The sequence below is a fragment of the Homo sapiens genome, chromosome 18 (genome assembly GCF_000001405.40).
Source record: "Homo sapiens chromosome 18, GRCh38.p14 Primary Assembly".
In the NCBI taxonomy this organism is placed as follows: domain Eukaryota; kingdom Metazoa; phylum Chordata; class Mammalia; order Primates; family Hominidae; genus Homo; species Homo sapiens.
The window spans coordinates 64,818,282-64,838,775 of NC_000018.10; the positions used below are offsets into that span (position 1 = coordinate 64,818,282).

Consider the following 20,494-nt stretch of genomic DNA (forward strand, 5'->3'; position numbering starts at 1 on the left):
CATACGCCATGGAGTGAAGCAGAGTCAAGGATTCTGTGAAGAGGATCATGGTACTTGAGAGATAGACTCAGGCTCGCCTAGAGATGAGAATTTAACTGGAGACAATCCAAGACATAGATCCTTTCTGTCCACAGATCACCTATCATTTTAATCAAAGGGAGGAAAAAAACAGGAGGCGTATTCTTAGATTCCCAACATCACAGGGAACAGCCAAACTCCCCGTGTGGCACAGGTGGAATCAAGTGCTCTTCCATGGTAGTGTGGAATTTAAAAAACAAAACAAAAAAAAAAAGGTTGTACATTTCTTGCCTGACACTAAGCCTCTACCTGTTACTGTCATCTAGAAAGAAAAATGATCTGAATTCTAGCATTTTACTCTAGCTGTGTACATGTATCCACCCATTCCCACCACCATTACCATCTCAGAGAACGGCAAGCCCGTTTTCTTCCTCAGTTCTTATTCCTCCAGCTATTTATGTAGTCTCGCCTTAAGTAGCTTCTACCTCAGGACCCAGAACCCAGTAACAAGGAAGACGTGAGTTCTCTGACTCCTCTTGTGCAAATATTTCTCTAAGAAATTTCCCATTTCCCTCTCAAATGCCAGTGAAAGAGGAAGGGGAAAGATACTTCCAAAGAGTCAATGGTCAAGAAGTGGCTGAGGGGAATCCTGGGATGAAAGAAGGAAATGGAAGAGAAGAAGCTAGACCATCCATCCCACGGCATCTGATTCCTTGGAGAGAGATAATGATGGTAGCAAGACAAAAATGCCAGTTCCTCACTTACTTAAGACATTACAGGTTCACTTCATTCTCATGTCACAATACAATAAAGATCAGTAGGAAGGTTCTGTAACATGATCTGATTCAGGCTTCTTCCATGATGTGGATTCACCAAAGCTGTGGATTTAGAATCCTCCCCAGTATGCTTTGAATCCAGCCAGGATGTAAAATGAGGGACAGAGCTGTGGAGGCTTGTGCAGGTTTAGTGTTCCAGGCATAGAGGTGTCTTTCATAGTTACCCCCATTCTGTTGGCCAGTCACATGGCCCTCCCTGCTGGGAAGTATATAGGAAAGATAGCATGTGTGTACAGAAAAAAAAAATGGGATTGATTAATTCTGCCAGAATCTTCCCTTCTAGTTGTTAAGTATTTATTTCATTCTTTATCACACACAGTATATGCTGACTTTTTGCAAAGAAACATATCCCAAAGTTCAGTGCAGGAAGTAATTTCATCCATCTTTATATTAGGATTTCCAAAAATTTATTCCCATTTTGACCAGACATAGCTAAGGCACTTGTATTTCAACTATTATAGAAGTATATGCATAAAGAATGTATATGTGTAGTACCTAGGACAGTATTAATAGTAGCCAATATTCCCACTTGGAATAAAAGAGGTATGAAATGTTAGAGAAACAGAACAAAACCAAACAGTAGTCACTGGTTCACAACTATCTGAACTGCTCTAGGTAGACATTGCAAGGATATCCTGCCTTGGGAGTGGGGAAATTACTTGATTACTCCCTGATCCTGCATTATTTGCTAGGTTCGTGTCTCCCTTGTCCATTTCCTCTGTAGCTGAGGAGGATATTTCTTTGGTTAATCTGGGTTCTTTGCATCTCCATATGAATTTTAGGACAAACTAGTAAACTTCTGCAAAAGAAGAAAACTGGATTTTAATAGAGATTAAATAAAGTCTGTAAAAGAGTTTAGGAGGTATTACTGATTCAGAAATATTAAGTTATCTGATCCATGAATATAGAATGTCTTTCCATTTACCTGGGTCCTCTTGAATTTATTTTTGCAATGTTTTGTTTTTTTCAGGGTACAGATCTTGTATTTCTTTATGAGGTTTATTCCTGAGTATTTTGATTTTTGAAGCAATAAAAATATAATGGTATTAGTAATTTCATTTTTGGATTTGTCATTGCTAGTGTACAAAATACAATTGATTCTTCCCTATTGATGTTGTATTCTGCAACCTTACTGAAATCATTCATTTTCAAGTTGTTTTTTGTTTTGTTTTGTAAATCCTTTAGGATTTCCTCTATATAAGATAATATCATCTGCAATAGATATATCAATAGATACAGATCTATACTTTATTTCTTATCTGAAAGTCATTACTTATTTTTTATTTTCTGCCTAATTGCCCTGACTACAGCTTCCTCTACAATTTCGAAAATAAATGATGAGAGTAGTTATCCTTGTCTTGGTCTTGATCTTAGGAGAAAAAGTTTTCATTCTTAAACCATTAAATTTGATGCTAGTTGTGTGTTTTTCATAGATACATTTTATTGGGTTGAGGAAGTTCCCTTCTATGCTTAGTTTGTTGAGTGTTTTATCATAAAAAGCTCAGATGTTATAAATGCTTTATATATATATATATATAAATGTGGTGAGATTTTTGTGGGGTTTTTGCTTTTTATTATATTAATATAGTGTATTATCTTGCTTGATTTTTCTAATTAAACCTATCTTGCTTTCCTGGGATGAAGACAACTTGGTCATGGTATGTAATCTCTTCTATATTTTGCTGGATTTTGTCTGTTAGTATTTTGTTGAGGAATTTAATATGTATATTCACATTGTATGTGCAGTATTGGTCTGCAGGGTTTCTTTTGCCTAATTTTGGTATTACTATTTGTCTGATTTTGGAATTATTTGTCTAATTTGTCCAATTATTTGTCTAATTTTGGTATCAGGGTAATAATGGTCTCATAGAATGAGTTGGGAAATATTTTCATTCTCTGACTTTTTGGAAGACTGTATAAAGGGTACATATTTTCTCTTCTTTTTTAAATTATACTTTAAGTTCTAGGGTACATGTGCACAACGTGCAGGTTTGTTACATATGTATACATGTGCCATGTTTGTGTGCTGCACCCAGTAACTCGTCATTTAACATTAGGTATATCTCCAAATGCTATCCCTCCCCCCTCCCCCCACCCTACAAAAGGCCCCGGTGTGTGATGTTCCCCTTCCTGGGTCCATGTGTTCTCATTGTTCAATTTCCACCTATGAGTGAGAACATGTGGTGTTTGGTTTTTTGTCCTTGCGATAGTTTGCTGAGAATGATGGTTTCCAGCTTCATCCATGTCCCTACAAAGGACATGAACTCATCATTTTTTCTGGCTGCATAGTATTCCATGGTGTATATGTGCCACATTTTCTTAATCCAGTCTATCATTGTTGGACATTTGGCTTGGTTCCAAGTCTTTGCTATTGTGAATAGTTTGAGAGAGTCCACCAAGGAAGCCATCTGGTCCTGGCTTCCTTTTTCTTTGTGTGATTTTTTTTTCCCTCCATTTTAACTAGTTAAGTAGACTTTATATTTGGAGCACTTTTAAATTTACAAGTTTGGGGTTTTGGGGGTTCTTTTGGGTTATTAATTCAATCCCTTTACTTGTTAAAAGTTTATTAAAATTTTCTATTAATTTGATATCAGTGTCAGTAGTTTGTGTCTTTGTAGGAATTTCATTTAGTCTGTATAATTAGTTGGTATACAGTTTCTCAGAGTTTTACTTAATAGTCCTTTTTATTTCTGTAAGATTGCTTGCAATGATCCCTCTTTTATTGCTTATTTTAATCATTTGAATCATTTTTTCTTTTGTAAGTCTAGATAAAATTTTGTTTTTTAATCTTCTCAATAAATAATTTTTGGTTTCATTGATTCTATTATTTTTCATTATTTGCTTCACTTTTTCTGCTCTAATTTTCTACCATCTTGCTTTGAGGTTAGTTTGCTCTTTATTTTCTAGTTTCTTATGTTGAAAAGTTAGGTTCTTGATTCAAGATCTTTGTTCATATGTATATGCTTATGGCTATTTTTTTTTATCTAAGCACAGTGTTAGCTACATCCCAAATGTTGTGGTATATTGTGTTTTTTGTTTTTGTTCGTCTCAAAATATTTTATACTTTTATTCGTTACTTCTTTTTTTGACCCATTGAATATTTAGCAATGTGGTGTTTAATTTCCATATATTTGTGAATTTGTGATCAGATATTGTGATCAGATAACATACTTGATATGATTTTATCTTTTTAAATGTACTGAGGCTAGTTTTAGGTGTTAGCATATGGTCTATCATGAAAAATGGTTCATACGCACTTGAGAAGAATGTGTATTCTGCTGTTAATTGGAGGGTCTGTGTATGTCAGTTATGTCTCTTTCAATTGTCTATTTCTCTTTTCAAGTTCAGCAATGTCTTCTGTGCATTAGCACACTATTTTTATGTGCATGTATTTCAGTCCTTTCCTCTGTTAACAAATCTGTGTCCTAAATACTTTTTAAAAAATATTAATATAACCACTTCAGCTTTCTTTTGTTTCTGTTTATATGGTACATTATTTTCCATCTTTGCACATTCAACCTGTTTGTGTCTTTGAATCTCAAGTACATATGTATGTATATATATCAGCCTTTGTGCTATCTATCTATATAGAAAGATAGATAGCAAAGGCCGATAATTTTATTGTATTCAATTTTTCTTTCTATATCTGTCTTTGTATTCGAGTGGCTAATTCCTATTAATGTAATGATTAGATACAATTTACATATGTAATTTTGCTGCATTTTTATACCTGTCATTTCAATCTACATTCTAACATGGACGCAGAGGATAAAGTTAACGAATTCCATGCTTATGAGGGGAAGAGGAGAACATAGAACAGCAGCTGTGGTTCTTCCAATGATGCCATAAGCAACTGAAGCTTGTTCTCTATATCTCACAGATTTTTCCTATAGTGTCCAAATACAATGAAGATATTGTCATTTAAATTTTTTATTAGTACTTACTTTTAGGCATTTTCAAAATACTTTTGCCAGTATATGTTAATAAATGAATTAAAGATTTAAAATATGATTTGCTGACAAACATGAGTGGTGATTAGAATCTATCATTGAACACAAACATGTTTTATGTAGAGATTTGGTAATAGTTGGGTCTAGTGTGGAGTCTAACGCATAATAAAAACACACTAAATATTTTTTCCAGTGAATGGAATCCAGTGCTTGCACATACTGTGTTTTTCATTGAACAACAAAAGTAATAACTTTTTTTTAATGTGCCAGGCATTTCTACAATACTGGGATAAGGCACTGAATAAAACCAACAAAAATCTGCCCTAATGGAGACACATTCAGGAGAAATGAAACAGACAATTTTCAAACTAAACAAGATAAAATGAATGGGAGCTGTGAAATAAGTTTTTAAAAATAACCGGGGCACCATTTTAAATAAAGTGTTCAAGTCAAGGCTCTATTAGAAAGCAACAGCTGTTCAGAGACCTGAATGGATGGAGGGAGTAAGCCATGTGGACACCTGGGGAAGAAACTCCAGAAAAAAGGCCCTGCAAGGGTGTCAATAGAGACACACATGGAATGCTTAAGGAAGATCAGGAAGGAGTGCGTAGCTAACGCAGGATGAGCCAAAAAAAAAAAAAAGAAAGAAACATAAGAAATAAAATCAATCAGAATCCCCTTATTTCTCCATGTTGTTATATCAATTGGCATGTTCAAAAGTTAAACTTGTTCCCAGAGAACCTCACTGCCATCAGTACGTTACTATACTTTCAGTCTTTCACCTCTCAATAAGAGCTTGGTCAGGGCTATGAATGCCTGTGTCTGTGAGAGTAGTTTTGCGTCTGCAGAGAGACTCTCACAGCATCACTTGTACAACTTTTGAAATATCCCAGCTTCCCTATGTACAATTATTCTTCCTTCAACGAGGGCAAATGACAAACTATAAGATATGAAGAGGGTTTTCCTGACTCCTTGCTCATGAAAACAGAACAATTAATTAAAATTTTGATCTTCACCAAGTTGCCTAATTTGAGAAGAAATCTAATAACCCAGCTTCCAGGTCAGTATATGAATGATTTTATGAGTCAGAAATCTTAAGGAAAGAGACCTCTCTAAATCACAGAAGCAGAGGTAGAAACATAGCACTCCTCATTATCTGTTTCTTTCCTGTGTTTAAATAACTGTAATCTTGTAGCCCTCCCATGCATTTCTGGTTTATTCAGACTAGTACTTGGGCAGCTATTAGAATTTTCAAAAGCTTTGTTTTAAACACATATTTTTAAGCAATCAAAGCTGCATATAAAACTATTCCATTTCACATTTTTGAAGACATTTGTAGCCATGATACTTTGCTGTTGTCTGTGGGCCACCTCTTTTTGAAGTGTGTAGTTAACTGTGCTCCTGTAATCTGTTGTCTGTTGACTCAAGTCCAAACCTGTTCTGCGTGGCATGTTTCTTCAACTTGATGTGATGCTATTTATCACTGTTCTTTGAAGTTAAGTCTCTATGTCTTTGTATTCTTTCTGTGTACCCAGGGATATGTTTGTGCATGCACACGCATAAACACACACACACACACACACACACACAGAGACAGAGACAGAGAACGTCTACAATGTCTTTGTGAGTCTATCAGAAACAGTTTTTGTTTCATGGAAAGGTTATTTCCCTGGTGTTTATATTAGGGCAAATAAAATGAGCACATAATGTTTAAATTCTACTTTCATTTCTGAGAACATTACACCTTGTGCCTCTAAACTGAAATGTTTGATATAGTCTATTTGCAAAAAAAGTTCTCTAGTATTATTATAGTTTGTTACTATGTGTATCTTATTTAGCTTTTCAAGACTCTATTATAAATTCTTAAATTTTAATTAGGTCCTCAGAGACATTCATTTGGCTCCTTTTAAATATATTTTGTCTTTAAAATATTACACTTAAACTAATGACCCCTTAAACCTTTATTTGTTGTTAAAAGTATTATTTATAATGTGGCTCAAATAGTAAAATGCCAGATGGAAAGAATATTAATCCTAGTAAAACATTCTTACTCCTACATTTTTCTGGCAACAAAGAAGTTCCTTCAGTTCCTTGAAGATAAAGATGTTCTCCATATGGAAACATAGCAATTGGGAGAATAAAAGACTTTACAGAAAGTATCTACATAAAAAATGTTCTATGTATGCAATAAATTACATATAGTTTGCCTTAGACAAGCCCATTATACTCTGAATCAGTGTATGAAATGTCTTTCCAATAGAAGCCCTAAGTGCAAATACTGTTGCACTTTACTTAAATCGTATTCTGAGCTTTCTCATCTCTTAAATTCTATCAGAAAGTTGTTTTTTATAACTATTTACATGACACACACTTTATTAGGCTTTTGAAGTTTCACCTTGGTCGTGTGACCTTGGGAGAATATAATGGCAACGGTCCATAACTATGTCTAGTTCTCTGTGTCTAATTTCTCTGGTTTTATGTAGTACATTACAAGTGTTTATTTTTCTTCTCCCATACCAAGCTAGAATTTTTGTACAATTTCAATACACAATATGTATAGCAGGATAAACTATTAATACCATGATGAAATTTAAAATGAATTATAATATGAATCTTCTAAGGAGATGGTTCTTAGGTAGCTTTGTTGAAATTAGAGCACCGCTAACATATATTTCCTAAGAAACATATCATGAAGGATTTGAACTTGATTAAAAATAGTATTCGGTTGCTCATATAATTTTAAATTTCCTCAAAGATGCCTGGCTAAAAGAATTTAGGCAGTGCTTAAATATGCCTAGAGAAGAATAGGGGGAAAACCAGTCAATGTGATTCATATTAAACTGTTATTGTGCATAATTCATCCTTTGATTTAAATCTCTCACTGCCATAACACCAATCAGAGAAATCACATTGGATTTCCTATTTGTCAGTTGGCTGGAATTTATTTTATTTATTATTATTATTATCTTATATTGCTATACTATTACCTGAGATTTAGTTGAAGGATTATGACTGCTGGACTTTCTGGTACACTTTTTCTTTTCCATCTTATTATTCTTTCTAGTGACCAATCTGCCTTTCAAATGTCATTCACTGGTGACCCACATTCCCTAAAGTGATTTCTTCCTGAGTGACCGCTGAAATATGAACAGCGAGATCCTCAGCAGAAGCTGTGACTTTGCTTTGAGACACTGCTGAATTCCTTAATTTTCAACATGCTCTATCTCCGGTTAACAGACAGTTGACCATTCCCTTTATTGGATTTTGTGTTAATTTATGTCCCCTTGGAAGTACATCTTGAGATCAAGATTGAATTGTTTATTTTGTAATATAACTTATTTTATAGGTGATCTCGGGAAACACCAGTAGGAGAGTGAACAAGGTAGAAAGGGAATGGAAATGAGCAAATATAGACCATGCAGAGTTCTTCAACAAGCAACTTATTCCTGTAAGTGGAGAGTGGTCTTGGTAACGTAAAACTTGTATATTGGAGTTATTCTGCCCAACGTTTGAGGGAGGTGGAGGGAGCTGGGGTTCATATACATGAGGAAGTCTTGTGAGTCACTGGTTAATACTTGCTCCTGGGATGACATCAAATCCTGGGAACTTCAAGCTGATCTCTAGGTGGCAAAGCCAGATTGGGTTCCAAAAAAGTTTCTCAAGCAGTTGATGTCAGGCGTATGTATATCGACATGCGGAGTGTGAAGGTAAATGAGTAGGACACTGACAACTGCTACAGGTTCCACTTTGGTTTTTCTGGCATTTTCTTTCCTTTCTAAACTCTATCTTCTGTTATAGTCACAATAACATGTTATGCCTTTGCTTGTATGTTCATCTCTCTCTGTGTACTAGCAGTCCATCCTAATAATGATCTTATCATCTGGAATATAATTGAATATTACAATTGAGAATAAAATAGATTATCCAGATTATTTCAGTGAATATAAGTCTAGCTGACTAAGAGGGAAAAATAATTATAGATACCGTGATATCCCCACACCAACTTCTTGTAACAATGAGATGAGTGAAACTTTAATGAAACAGTGTTATCATCAAAGACCTGCCAACCTAAAATTATCTGTTTTGATGAATTGTCATTAAATAAATGAAGACGCCAAAATAAAGATATTTTTATACAAAAACTAAATCCCTTATTCCCTCAGAGAGTTTGTAGGTTTCATTCCAAAAAGCCACAATAAAGTGAATATTGCAATAAAGCAAGTCACACAAATTTTTTGGTTTCCCAGTGCATATAAAAGTTATGCTTGGGGCTGGGCACGGTGGCTCACGCCTGTAATCCCAGCTCTTTGGGAGGCCGAGGCAGGCGGATCACAAGGTCAGGAGATCGAGACCATCCTGGCTAACACGGTGAAACCCCGTCTCTACTGAAAATACAAAAAATTAGCCGGGCGCAGTGGCGGGCGCCTGTAGTCCCAGCTACTGGGGAGGCTGAGGCAGGAGAATGGTGCCAACCCGGGAGGCGGAGCTTGCAGTGAGCCGAGATTGCGCCACTGCACTCCAGCCTGGGTGACAGAGCGAGACTGCATCTCAAAAAAAAAAAAAAAAAAAAGTTATGCTTACATGATACTATAGTCTATAAATGTGCAATATCATTATGTCTAAAAAAGCACATGCCTTAATTAAAAACTACTTTTTACCAAAAAATGCTAACAATCATCTCAGCCTTCAGAGAGTCATAAAAATATTTTGCTGGGAAAATCTTTCCTTGATGTTTGATGGTTGATGACTGATCAGGGTGGTGGTTGCTGAAGCTTGAGATGGCTGTGTCAATTTTTTAAAATAAGACAATGACGAGCTTGTGGCATTCTTTCACAAAAGATTTCTCTGTAGTACATGATGTTTTTTGATCGCATTTTACCCGCAGTAGACCTTTTATCAATGCTAGAGTAAATCATCTCAAAAGCTGCTGCTGCTTTATCAACTAATTTTGTGTAATATTCTAAATCCTTTGTTGTCATTTCAACAATGCTCACAGCAACTTCACTAGGAGTAGCTTCTATCTCAAGAAACGACTTTCATTGCTTATCCATAGGTAGCAACTCTTCACCCATGAATGTTTTATCATGAGATTGCAGTCATTCAGTCACATATTCAAGCTCCACTTCTAATTGTAGTTATCTTGTTATTCACACTACATCTTCCACCGAATTACTGAGCCTCTCAAAGTCATTCATGAGGGTTGGAATCAACTTCTTCCAACCTCTTGTTCATGTTGATATTTTGATCTCCTATGCATCACAAATGGTGTTAAGGACATCTAGAATGGTGAATTTTTTTGAGAAGGCTATCAATTTATTTTGGCCAGATTCATTAGAGGAATCACTATAGCTACTGTAGCCTTATAGAATGTATTTCTTAAATCATAAGACTTGAAAGTCAAAATTACTCCTTGTTCCATTGGCTGCAGAATGGATGTTATATTAGCAGGCATGAAAACAACATGAAACTCCTTACCATCAGAGATCCTGGGTAACCAGGTGCATTGTCAATGAACAGTAACATTTTGAAAGAAATATTTTTTTCTGACCAGTAGGTCTCAACAATGGGCTTAAAATATGTATTAAACCATGCTATAAACAGTTGTTATCATCCAGACCTTGTTGTTCCATTTATAGAGCACAAAGGAGATTTAGTATCATTCTTCAGGGCTCTACAATTTTCAGAATGATAATTGAGCATTGTCTTCAACTTAAGTCCCCAACTGCATTAGCTCCTAACAAGAGAGTCGACTTGTCCTGTGAAGCTTTAAAGTCAGTCATTAGCTTCTCTCTTGCTATGAAGTCCTAGATGGCATCTTCCACTACAAGACTGTTTTTGTTTTTGTTTTGAGATGGAGTCTTGTTCTGTCACCCAGGCTAGAGTGCAATGGCACGATCTCAGCTCACTGCAAACTCCACCCCCTGGGTTCAAGGGATTTTCCTGCCTCAGCCTCCCCAGTAGCTGGGATTACAGGCATGCACCTCCACGCCCGGCTAATTTTTGTATTTTTAGTAGAGATGGGGTTTCACCATGTTGGCCAGGCAGATTAATCTTGAACTCCTGACCTCAGGTGGTCCGCCCTCCTCAGCCTCCCAAAGTGCTAGGATTATAGGCGTGAGACACCACACCTGGCCAAGACTGTTTTGTTTACACTGAAAATCTCTTATTTAATGTAGCCATCATCACCACTTATCTTGGCTAGATCTTCTGGATAACTTGCTGTAGCTTCTACTTCAGCACTTGCTGCTTCACCTTGCACATTTATGTTATGGAGGTGGCTTCTTTCCCTAACCCTTATGAACTAACCTCTGCTACACTCAAACTTTTCTTCTGAGCTTCCTCAGTTATCTCAGCCTTCATAGAATTGAAGAGAGTTAGGTCTATGCTATGGAGTAGGCTTTGGCTTAACAGAATATTATAGCTGGTCTGAACTATCTAGACCACTAAAACTTTCTCCATTATCAGTAATAGGACTGTTTTGCTTTCTTATGATTCATGTGTTCACAGGAATAGCTATTTTGATTATCTTTAAGAACTTTTCCTTTTCATGTGCAACTTGGCCAACTGACACAAGAGGCCTAGCTTTTGGCCTCTCTGGGGTTTGACCTGACTTCCTCACTAAGCGTAATCATTTCTAGCTTTTGTTTTAAAGTGAGAGGTGTGAGATTCTTTCACTGAAACACTTAGAGGTCATTGTAGTTTTATTAATTGGCCTAATTTCAATGTTCTTGTGTCTCAGGGAATAGGGATACCCAGGGAGAGGTAGAGAGATGGGGGAATGGCTAGTTACTGGAGCAGTCAGAACACATACAACATTTATCCATTAAGTTTACAGTCTTATATGGGTGATGTTTATGGCCCCAGAACAATTATAATAGTAACAATAAAGATCACTGATTATAAATTACCATAACATATATCATAATAAAAAATGTTTGAAGTATTGCAAGAATTATCCAAATGTGACTCAAAGACATGAAATGAACACATGCTTTTGGAAAATTGGCACCAATAGACTTGTTTGACATAGAATTGCTACACATCTTCAATTTGTAAAATACACAATATCTGTAAAGCACAATAAAGCAAAGCACAATAAAATACTTCATTTTTATCTCTCTCATTTTATTAAATCTCTCTCCATATAAGATACATATGAAATAAATATATATTTATATACAAATAGATATAAAATACATAATATTTTGATGCTGTAGTGAGACTGAGTTTTCATGGGGTTTCTAATGAAGTTTATATCCTACCATCAGAAAATGCTTGTGTTTCACTAAGGCCACAATGTACTAGTCACTTCTTGCTTACCTGATTTGATGAGTATGAGATAATCAAGATAATAGACCAGAGTGATTCTAGATGGTCTAGAGGTCGTGAGTTTATATTATGATGGGGTGGCAAAGTTAACCTCGTCTGGGGCAAAACTTTAAGGATATATTATTGTCATTTCTATATGAAATATATCTAATTGTATATTCTTATAGAAGTTAAAAAGGACACATTTGCCAGTTGAATGGCTGTATACCATGCACATGAAATTTTGTTTATGTGCTTCAGAAAAGATACTGCATTTGATATAGTGGCTACAATTAGGGCTATTATTTGGTTAAGTTGACAATAGTCCACTCACATCTTCTACGATCTGTCTGATCCTTTGAGTTCTGATTGGTGAATTAAATTAAAATAGACTGAATATCTAGTTATATACCTTTTAGACTTGAATTATATATACTTTTAAAAAATCCCTTCCTGGGATATGATAGTATTTTTGACTTATTATTCAGAGGGGGTGAGATTTCAGAGGCTTTACCTTTTTTTTCTTACCGTAGAAGCTTTTACTCCACAGGGCAAGGATATTACACAGCTTAGGAACTATGCCAAACATCTAGTATGTCTATTTCAGTTTGGAGGATCAAAGAGTAACTACTAGATAGCAGGCCCATCACGAAGTTAGCATGGCTCTGGAATCCTGTATTAGTCAGTTTTCACATTGCTATAAAGAACTGCCTGAGACTGGGTAATTTATAAAGAAAAGAGGTTTAGTTGACTCACAGTCTCGCTTGGCTGGGGAGACCTCAGAAAACTTATAATCATGATGGAAGGAGAAGGGGAAACAAGGCACACCTTACATGGTGGCAAGAGAGAGAGAATAAGGAGGGAAGTGCCACACTTTTATAATCCGCTCTCATGAGAATTCACTCACCATCATGAGAAGAGTGAGGGAGAAATTCATCCCCATGATCCAATCACCTCCCATCAGGTCCCTTCCCCAATACGTAGGAATTACAATTCAACATGAGATTTGAGTGGGGACACAGAGCCATGCCACATCAACTCCATTTATTATTTTCCTACGTATGCCCCCAATATTTGGGGAGGGAGCATGATGATGATGATGACGCTTTGAGTCTCTGGCTATTGTGGTCATCTCTAACCCTGTGTTCACGAGTCTTCAAAATGTTTGAGTATTTCTGTTTTCCCAGTGCACAGCTAACTAAGAAAATGTCCAGAAATCCCTTTGAGGAATGTCTGGAGAAGTCATCATCACATGCAATTGATGTGATACTTCAGTTTCCTTCATTCTGGACCTAGTTTTGCTTTCAGTCAATTGCACCTAGTTTTGCTTTCAGTCAGTAGGTCCTAGTTTGAAAACTGGAACAGGTCTGAAAACTGGGAAGGGAACTACAACTTTGTATTGGGGTAATTGCTCTCCTCATATTCAATTTTGTTTTAATTTTACAGATTGAGGAGCCTTTTTGGGTGTCCATCTATATTGCCCCCCAAAAAAGATACTATCTTCTATTTTTATCTTCATCACCATCTACAGTTGACTCCTGCATGTCTGCAAATCTTTCCACTCATAGGTAATTGTGTTCACTGGGAGTTGGATGTTCCCTGTCACACCAGGCCTCTATTATGGGAGGGAGACAATCATCCCTATTGCTAACAACCATAAACAGAATCTCCTAATGTCAGCCCTGGTGACAGAGCAGAACACTTTGTTTTTCCAGCATATTCCTTATGTCTTTGTTGGGCAATGTGTTATTTGGCCTTGCATATTATATTCACTTTAATATGCCTTCTTCTCTCAGCCTTTAACCTCATCTTTCACCATGTGCCAAGACAATTCTTGTATTTCTAGATCTTGGATGTGGGCCGTCATTTTCCCTTCCTCTAGGAATTATCCTATGCTGTGTTTACATAATCTCCTCTGTTTCTTGTCAGTTTGTTAAATTCAGCATCTTGGGAGAGTTCCTCAGATTAATAACTCTCCTTTATGTTTCTTCATATCTTTGTCTTCTTGATCACATACCTTCTGATATAATATTTTCTTACTTAAAGCCTTTTATCCATCAGACCGTAGTGAAAGATTGTAAGTAAATTTTTGAAAAATTAAATTAAACATTTTTACTGACTAGTTGAGCATAAATATACCAGATTCCAAAAATGTTTACATTGTTCCTAAATTTATCTTTAGTTCGGGATTATTTCTCAACAAGTGATCACACTTTGTACTCCACATAATATTTCATACAAAATATCTATAGCATGTGAGTCCTTCTGTACTATGAGTTTCCAGGCCCAGTGATTTAAAAATTTACTCTCTCTTTCTCTCAGTTGTCCCAAACATGCAACCTGTATTCCACTTATCCAGAGCTATTTACATTTCCCAGGTGCATTGTGCCTGCTTATGCTTCTTTATGTGCAAATTGATTTTCTATACCCTGCCTGGAAAATGCATGCTACCATCTGATTTTTCATTAACTTATATTCAAACTTCAAATCAAAGCTTCTATCTCTTTTACACTTTTTCCTGAAAATATCCTCTCACCTTTGTAGACTGTGTCATTGTCTGTCCAGTGTGATTCAAAACCACCTTCTTGAATATGCTGTTTGTCACTATTTTCTTTCTCTCTCTCTTTACTGGTGTTTCACAAAAAATTGATCTACAGACATATAAGAATTTATGTCAAAGTTATTACCGTTTTACAGAGAAAGAAAAACGTTAGAAGCAACTTAAGGAGTTTTTCATAAAGCCACATTTGGAGATAATAATGCACTATTATTCATTCTCAACTAAATTCTTTCTCAATTTTGTTATTATTAAAATGCTTTTTTCTTTATCAAGTAATCATGATGACAGGCGTCATTGTTCTTTTCTTCCTTTTTTCCTTATTTTTTTTTCCTTTCAAAGTCTTAACGTGTCATAATAAAAAGTTTGTAACATCATATAGGTCTCATTTTTTTTTAACAGTTCTGTTGCACAGGACTCTGAAGTGTGTGTGTGTGTGTGTGTGTGTGTGTAAATGTTATCACTATTTCCCTGGTATCATGATCAGTCATATCTAACATATGACAACATATGTTAGATAAATGAGGGATTACACCCTTACATATGCCAAAACAATTATAATTTAATAATTTAACTGGAAAGAGAATGGGATAACTACAGATACTTCCAGCACTCAGGGGCAGTAATACAGCCTGGTTGTAGGCTAAGTAGGTTTATGTGCCTAAGCATTTTAATGATCCTGTAATCCCTTGTCCAGTGATTTCATTGCTTACTTTGCTCAGGACCCTAATGAAGGCAATACCCCCATAATTAATCCTCCCTGTTTTTGGAACAGCCCCATATATTCAGTGCTGCACCACTGCTGATCTGCTTATAAACTATGGAGTTATATGAGTATTTTTTGACTTCAATCCAGCACATAATTAGGGCCCACCTCACAACCTCGAGGAAAAGTAATAATTACAGAAAAAGGGCAGTGGAATGTTTTAGATCCAACATGCCAGTTCAAACTCAGCAGCAGATTATAACAGCAACAAATTGTGACCTTTTGGTAGCACCTGTAAAGTGGTGACTGAAGATTGTTCTCTAATTGCTTCAATCATTGGCAATTGGGTGAGAAACAGTCCAATACAGAGCAGATAAAGTGATTAAATTACCTTTCTTTCCTTAAATAGCTATTTTCTGTGCTGCATTTGACTCCACCTACAGGAGCCCATCTATATGTCTATAAAAATAAGAAGCCAAATTATTTGGGAAAGTATGGAAAAAATGTGCAGACACCATCAATCATGTAATAGAGTGAACTCATTACCTATCCTGCACCCCCACTGAAGCAAGGTGAAAATTCAATTTTAAAGAATGCTAACGCGTTTATTCTATCTTTAAGCAATTTCTTACCTGGCAGATTGGTAACTCTCTCTTTACTGTATTTCTCGAGGTGCAAATTAATTTTTGGTTCAGGTAGTAACTCATATTTGTGTAAGGAAATTGTAACAGTAAGGGCTGATCTCTTCTCAGGAAAGCAATTGAATTGAACATAAATATACTGGATTCCAAAAATGTTTGCATTGTTCAAAACTTTATCTCTAGTTCTAGGTTATTTCCCAACAGGGTGATCATGCTTTTTTTCCCCACAACATATTTCAATCCATGTATTTATTTATTTTTGGATATTAACAGGGCAAAAATATATAAATATTTTATGCACTACTCTAATTGCAAAGACAACTGGCTAATGCAATTCTGAATTAAGCAAAATATATATTTTATTTATAATACAATAAATTTTTGCTCCACATATTTTTCTGGTGTAATAAGACAAAGCATTTAATATCTATTCTTAATTTTGAATGTTTAATATGTATACTTTTACATATAACTTTGAAAAAGATATTTTCAGGATAATTTCAAATAAAACACTTACCCCCTTACTCTGGGGTGAGATTTTGTGTGTATTTGTTGGGCGGACACTTTCCAGAATTGAGTATTTGCAACTAAGTAATGTTAGATATTTTAAAGTTAAACAGCAAATAATGTTTTTGTATTGTGAATTTACAGTTATCAATATCTATGAAATATTTAGTTTGGTTAATAGGAGAAAGGCCAAAAGTGAGAAATCAGATTATTTCAAAGCTTTGAATATTGATTAAAAAAAAGATGAAGTGGAATGAAGTCAAGCCTATATTTGAATGCCCCACCCTAAAGAGACCTTGTCACCATAATAACTCTTCTTAGGGAAATGTCTGTATTTCCAAAAAAAAAAAAAAAAAAATGAAAAGACAAACGTCTATTGACTTTTTCAAGTTGGATGAAATGCCCCATCCTATAATGTGAGGGATGCATTTGCTATGAGTAAATTTTAAGTTGATAAAGGTCACTCACCTGCTTAAAAACTTTATTTTTCTTTATTTACACTACAATAAAAGTTGAACCCCTAAGTACTGCTTACATGATTTAATCTCACATATATTCCTTTCTTACCATCTGTCACCACACTAAACACTCCATGGTCACTAACTCCAGCCCCCTTGGCCTTCTGGCAGTTGCTCAGGGCTGTTCAAAGCTAGACTCTGGCTGGTGAACTCCTCATTAGTTCCTCTTCTGGGTATCCCCAAGTCATTTCTTCTCCTACTGATCTAAATGTCACTTCCACAGAGAAATAATTTTCACTAAGACCACTGCTCCTGATTATTTTCTACTATGGTTTTCTCAAAACAATCCATTCTTCTTCATAGAACTTATTATGACTTGCACTGATAATTTATGCATTTATTTGTGTGATGTCTGTCTCCTGCATTCAGTCTCTTCTGTGATAGAAAGCCTCATATCCATTGGTTTTACATTATATATGAAAAACCGAACCCACAATAGTTACTCCTTAAACATTTATCAAATACAAGTTAAAACATGCTGTTATTGATATTATGAATAACATACATAGTAAAAATAACAGAAGTTTTATGTATTTTCTTAATTCATATTTATCAACTGCAGCACATGGAGTGCTGTACACTCTCCCCAAATGTTGCACTGAAATTTCAACCAACATGTAAAACTTAGTTTTGCAACAACGGGTATAAGTAGTATTAAGGTAGGATCTTTAAATGAAAACAGCATGGTTGTAAGCTATAATGATGTACTGGCTTCTGTGAATAAAAAGCAACATTAAGATACCACTAAGGAATAAGACCATCACTGGAACATAGATGAATTGTGTGTTTTCAATCTATGAGGGTGTAACCAAAGTAGTAAATGAATCTACTCAAATACTGGCAAAAAGTAAATATTGATAATAATCATGAATGCCCTTAGAGAAAAGGTAAGAATTTAGTTGTGATTATGTTATGATTGATCATGCTTATTCACAAAGTACTGTTTTTAATTTTTTAATCTTTAGAAATATGTTGTACAATAATCTAGTATCTTACATATGCTTTAAAAATAGAATGGAAAAAATCATTGTCTAATGTGATCTGTGTGCTTTCACTAAACAAGTATTCTGAGCTTCGCTGGTCTGATAAATGTTATTGGTATGTGATTTATTTTACTCTTCCAGAATTCTTCCATAAATATTAATCAAAATAAGGACATAAAGCCTCAGGCATGAAAATTATAAATAGATAGGAGAATATACCAATTTGTCTTGTTTCCCCTAGATTGAAGAATTGAAATAATATTCATTTATTAATCGTTTCTGCTAAGAATGAAAGTATTTTGTTGGATGTCTTCTTAAACTTTACGTTGATCCTACCAAAAATGCTGAAGTAACAGTAGATTCACTTTAAAAATGGCAAACTAACTTAAATAAAGGTTAATAAGATTAAGAAATTTTTATAAAAGTTTTATCTATTAGAACTAGAGTGGAAAATCTTGGTTATCTGATTACAAATGAAGACATTTTGCCTTTTCCTTTGCTTTCTTCAAATCTCTATTTGAAATAAAACAGGTAAGTTTCACTTCATAATCTTCTAATTACGATTTTTTTTTTTTTTTTTTTTGAGATGGAATCTCGCTCTGTCTCCAGGCTGGAGTCCAGTGGCACGATCTTGGCTCCCTGCAACCTTTGCCTCCTGGGTTCAAACAATTCTGCCTCAGCCTCCAGAGTAGCTGGGACTACAGGCGTGCGCCAACACGCCCAGCTAATTTTTGTATTTTTCGTAGAGACGGCATTTCACCATGTTGGCCAGATGGTCTTAATCTCTGGACCTCGTGATCTGCCTGCCTTGGCCTCCCAAAGTGCTGGGATTAGAGGGGTGAGCCACCGCGCCCAGCCTATGATGTTAATAATTAATGTTAACATTTAATGTTTATTATTTTACTTTATTTCTTCAAAATATCAATGTTCTTTTCACATATGCTTCTTAAGTTTTACTAACTTGATGAATAGTTATACAAAGTAATTTCTATTGACCGCTTGTGAAAGCGGCACACACACGATCATAAAAGGAACATTTCTTCAGAAATATTTTGAAAATGTCACAAATCATTAGCATATGATTCTTCTGTTATTTGCTGAGTGATTCTCACAATAGCCTCAAGACAACTGGATCAGTCATGTCCTTTACACAAATAAAGAAAGTGAAACTCAAAATAGTTAACTAAATGTATTTTAAGCATGTGTAGCAAAAATAAGATTAAAAAATATATATTTTTTCTTTTAGTAGAGCCCAAGTCAAATCTATGTCAAAACTTGAAATAGTCCTTAAAGCAAAATTTGAACAAGTCCCTATGAATTAATGAGATAAATGTACAACATTACTCCCAGCTACCAGATGGGGCACAGAAAAGTTCCTAAAACATGAATAAACCTAAAAAATATGTAAATTATTTTTTGAATAAAGTGGGAAAACTTACGAAGAGGAATTTTTGTGTCCACAGAGACCTTGAATGCCTGCCAAATGTAAAGCTAACAGTAAAGACCACTGCATTGATAAAGATATCTTCTATGTTTTCTAGGATGATTCTTGCAGCAATACTGTATTACTCTCACAGTCTCTCAATATGGGACGGAGATACCAAATGAATAGAATGGTGGCAAATTAAGCATTGGGGGAGAATATAATTTAGAGGCAATCTGGTGTTTCTCTCAATAGAACTATGCTTTTGGAACAATGATTTTGTTAGTCATTTACCCAACTTAATTAAAACAAAAAAACACGATTTATCATCCTTTTATTATATTTCAGAAACAAAGAAACATCTTTTCAGCCAGTTTCTACTGTGGCTTCATAAATGCTGAGTTAATTTTTGTTTGCCTTGCATATTTGAGATATCTAATTCAGAATTTTTCTCCCAGCTTCTTAGTTGCTAAATGCAGTGTTAAACCCCTCACAAAGCAATTCAACAAATTGCTGATAGTTTGATGCCCGCATATCTCCAAATCTCTAGGTATATACCCTATTTATGAAGCCCTATTAAGAAATTTACTCCTTCCTCACTACAGTTTTACTGTTGAAATGTTTCATTGTAGGCTGTAACTTCAGGAAAAGAAATTGTTTTTTGCATAAGCTAGATGGGAACAACTTCCAGTATAGACTTCACAGTCTACTTTCCATTGAAATAAATAGCTTTCAGATTCCAAAAGGTCTTAGATCTCTCGGTTCCTCATTGTGGATGGAAACTCTCAATATTACCTATATAAACTAGTAAAAACAACAAAAATATCCTATGCAATAAAAGTGCATTGCATGATATTGTAAAAGTGAATTCTATTTTCAATATAATATCAAAAATTCTAGAGAATTTTATTTAAATTAATATGCTATAGGCTATATTCTATATATTACTAATCACACATTTGGAAAATATTTTGATTAGAACTGAAAGATTGAAAGAGATAGTGATTTAAGCCATTTTTGTGTTGCTATAAAGAAATACCTGAGACT

The 20,494-nt window shown here is 35.0% G+C and overlaps 1 long non-coding RNA gene across 1 annotated transcript in view; it reads left to right on the forward strand.

The window, feature by feature from the left end:
• The first annotated feature begins 8,176 nt into the window (after window positions 1–8,176).
• The window catches only part of LOC107985178 (uncharacterized), a 125,185-nt gene continuing 112,867 nt past the window's right edge, over window positions 8,177–20,494 (forward strand). The window contains exon 1 of the long non-coding RNA XR_001753480.1: window positions 8,177–8,252. This is a non-coding gene — a long non-coding RNA (uncharacterized LOC107985178). The remainder of the gene's footprint in view (window positions 8,253–20,494) is intronic.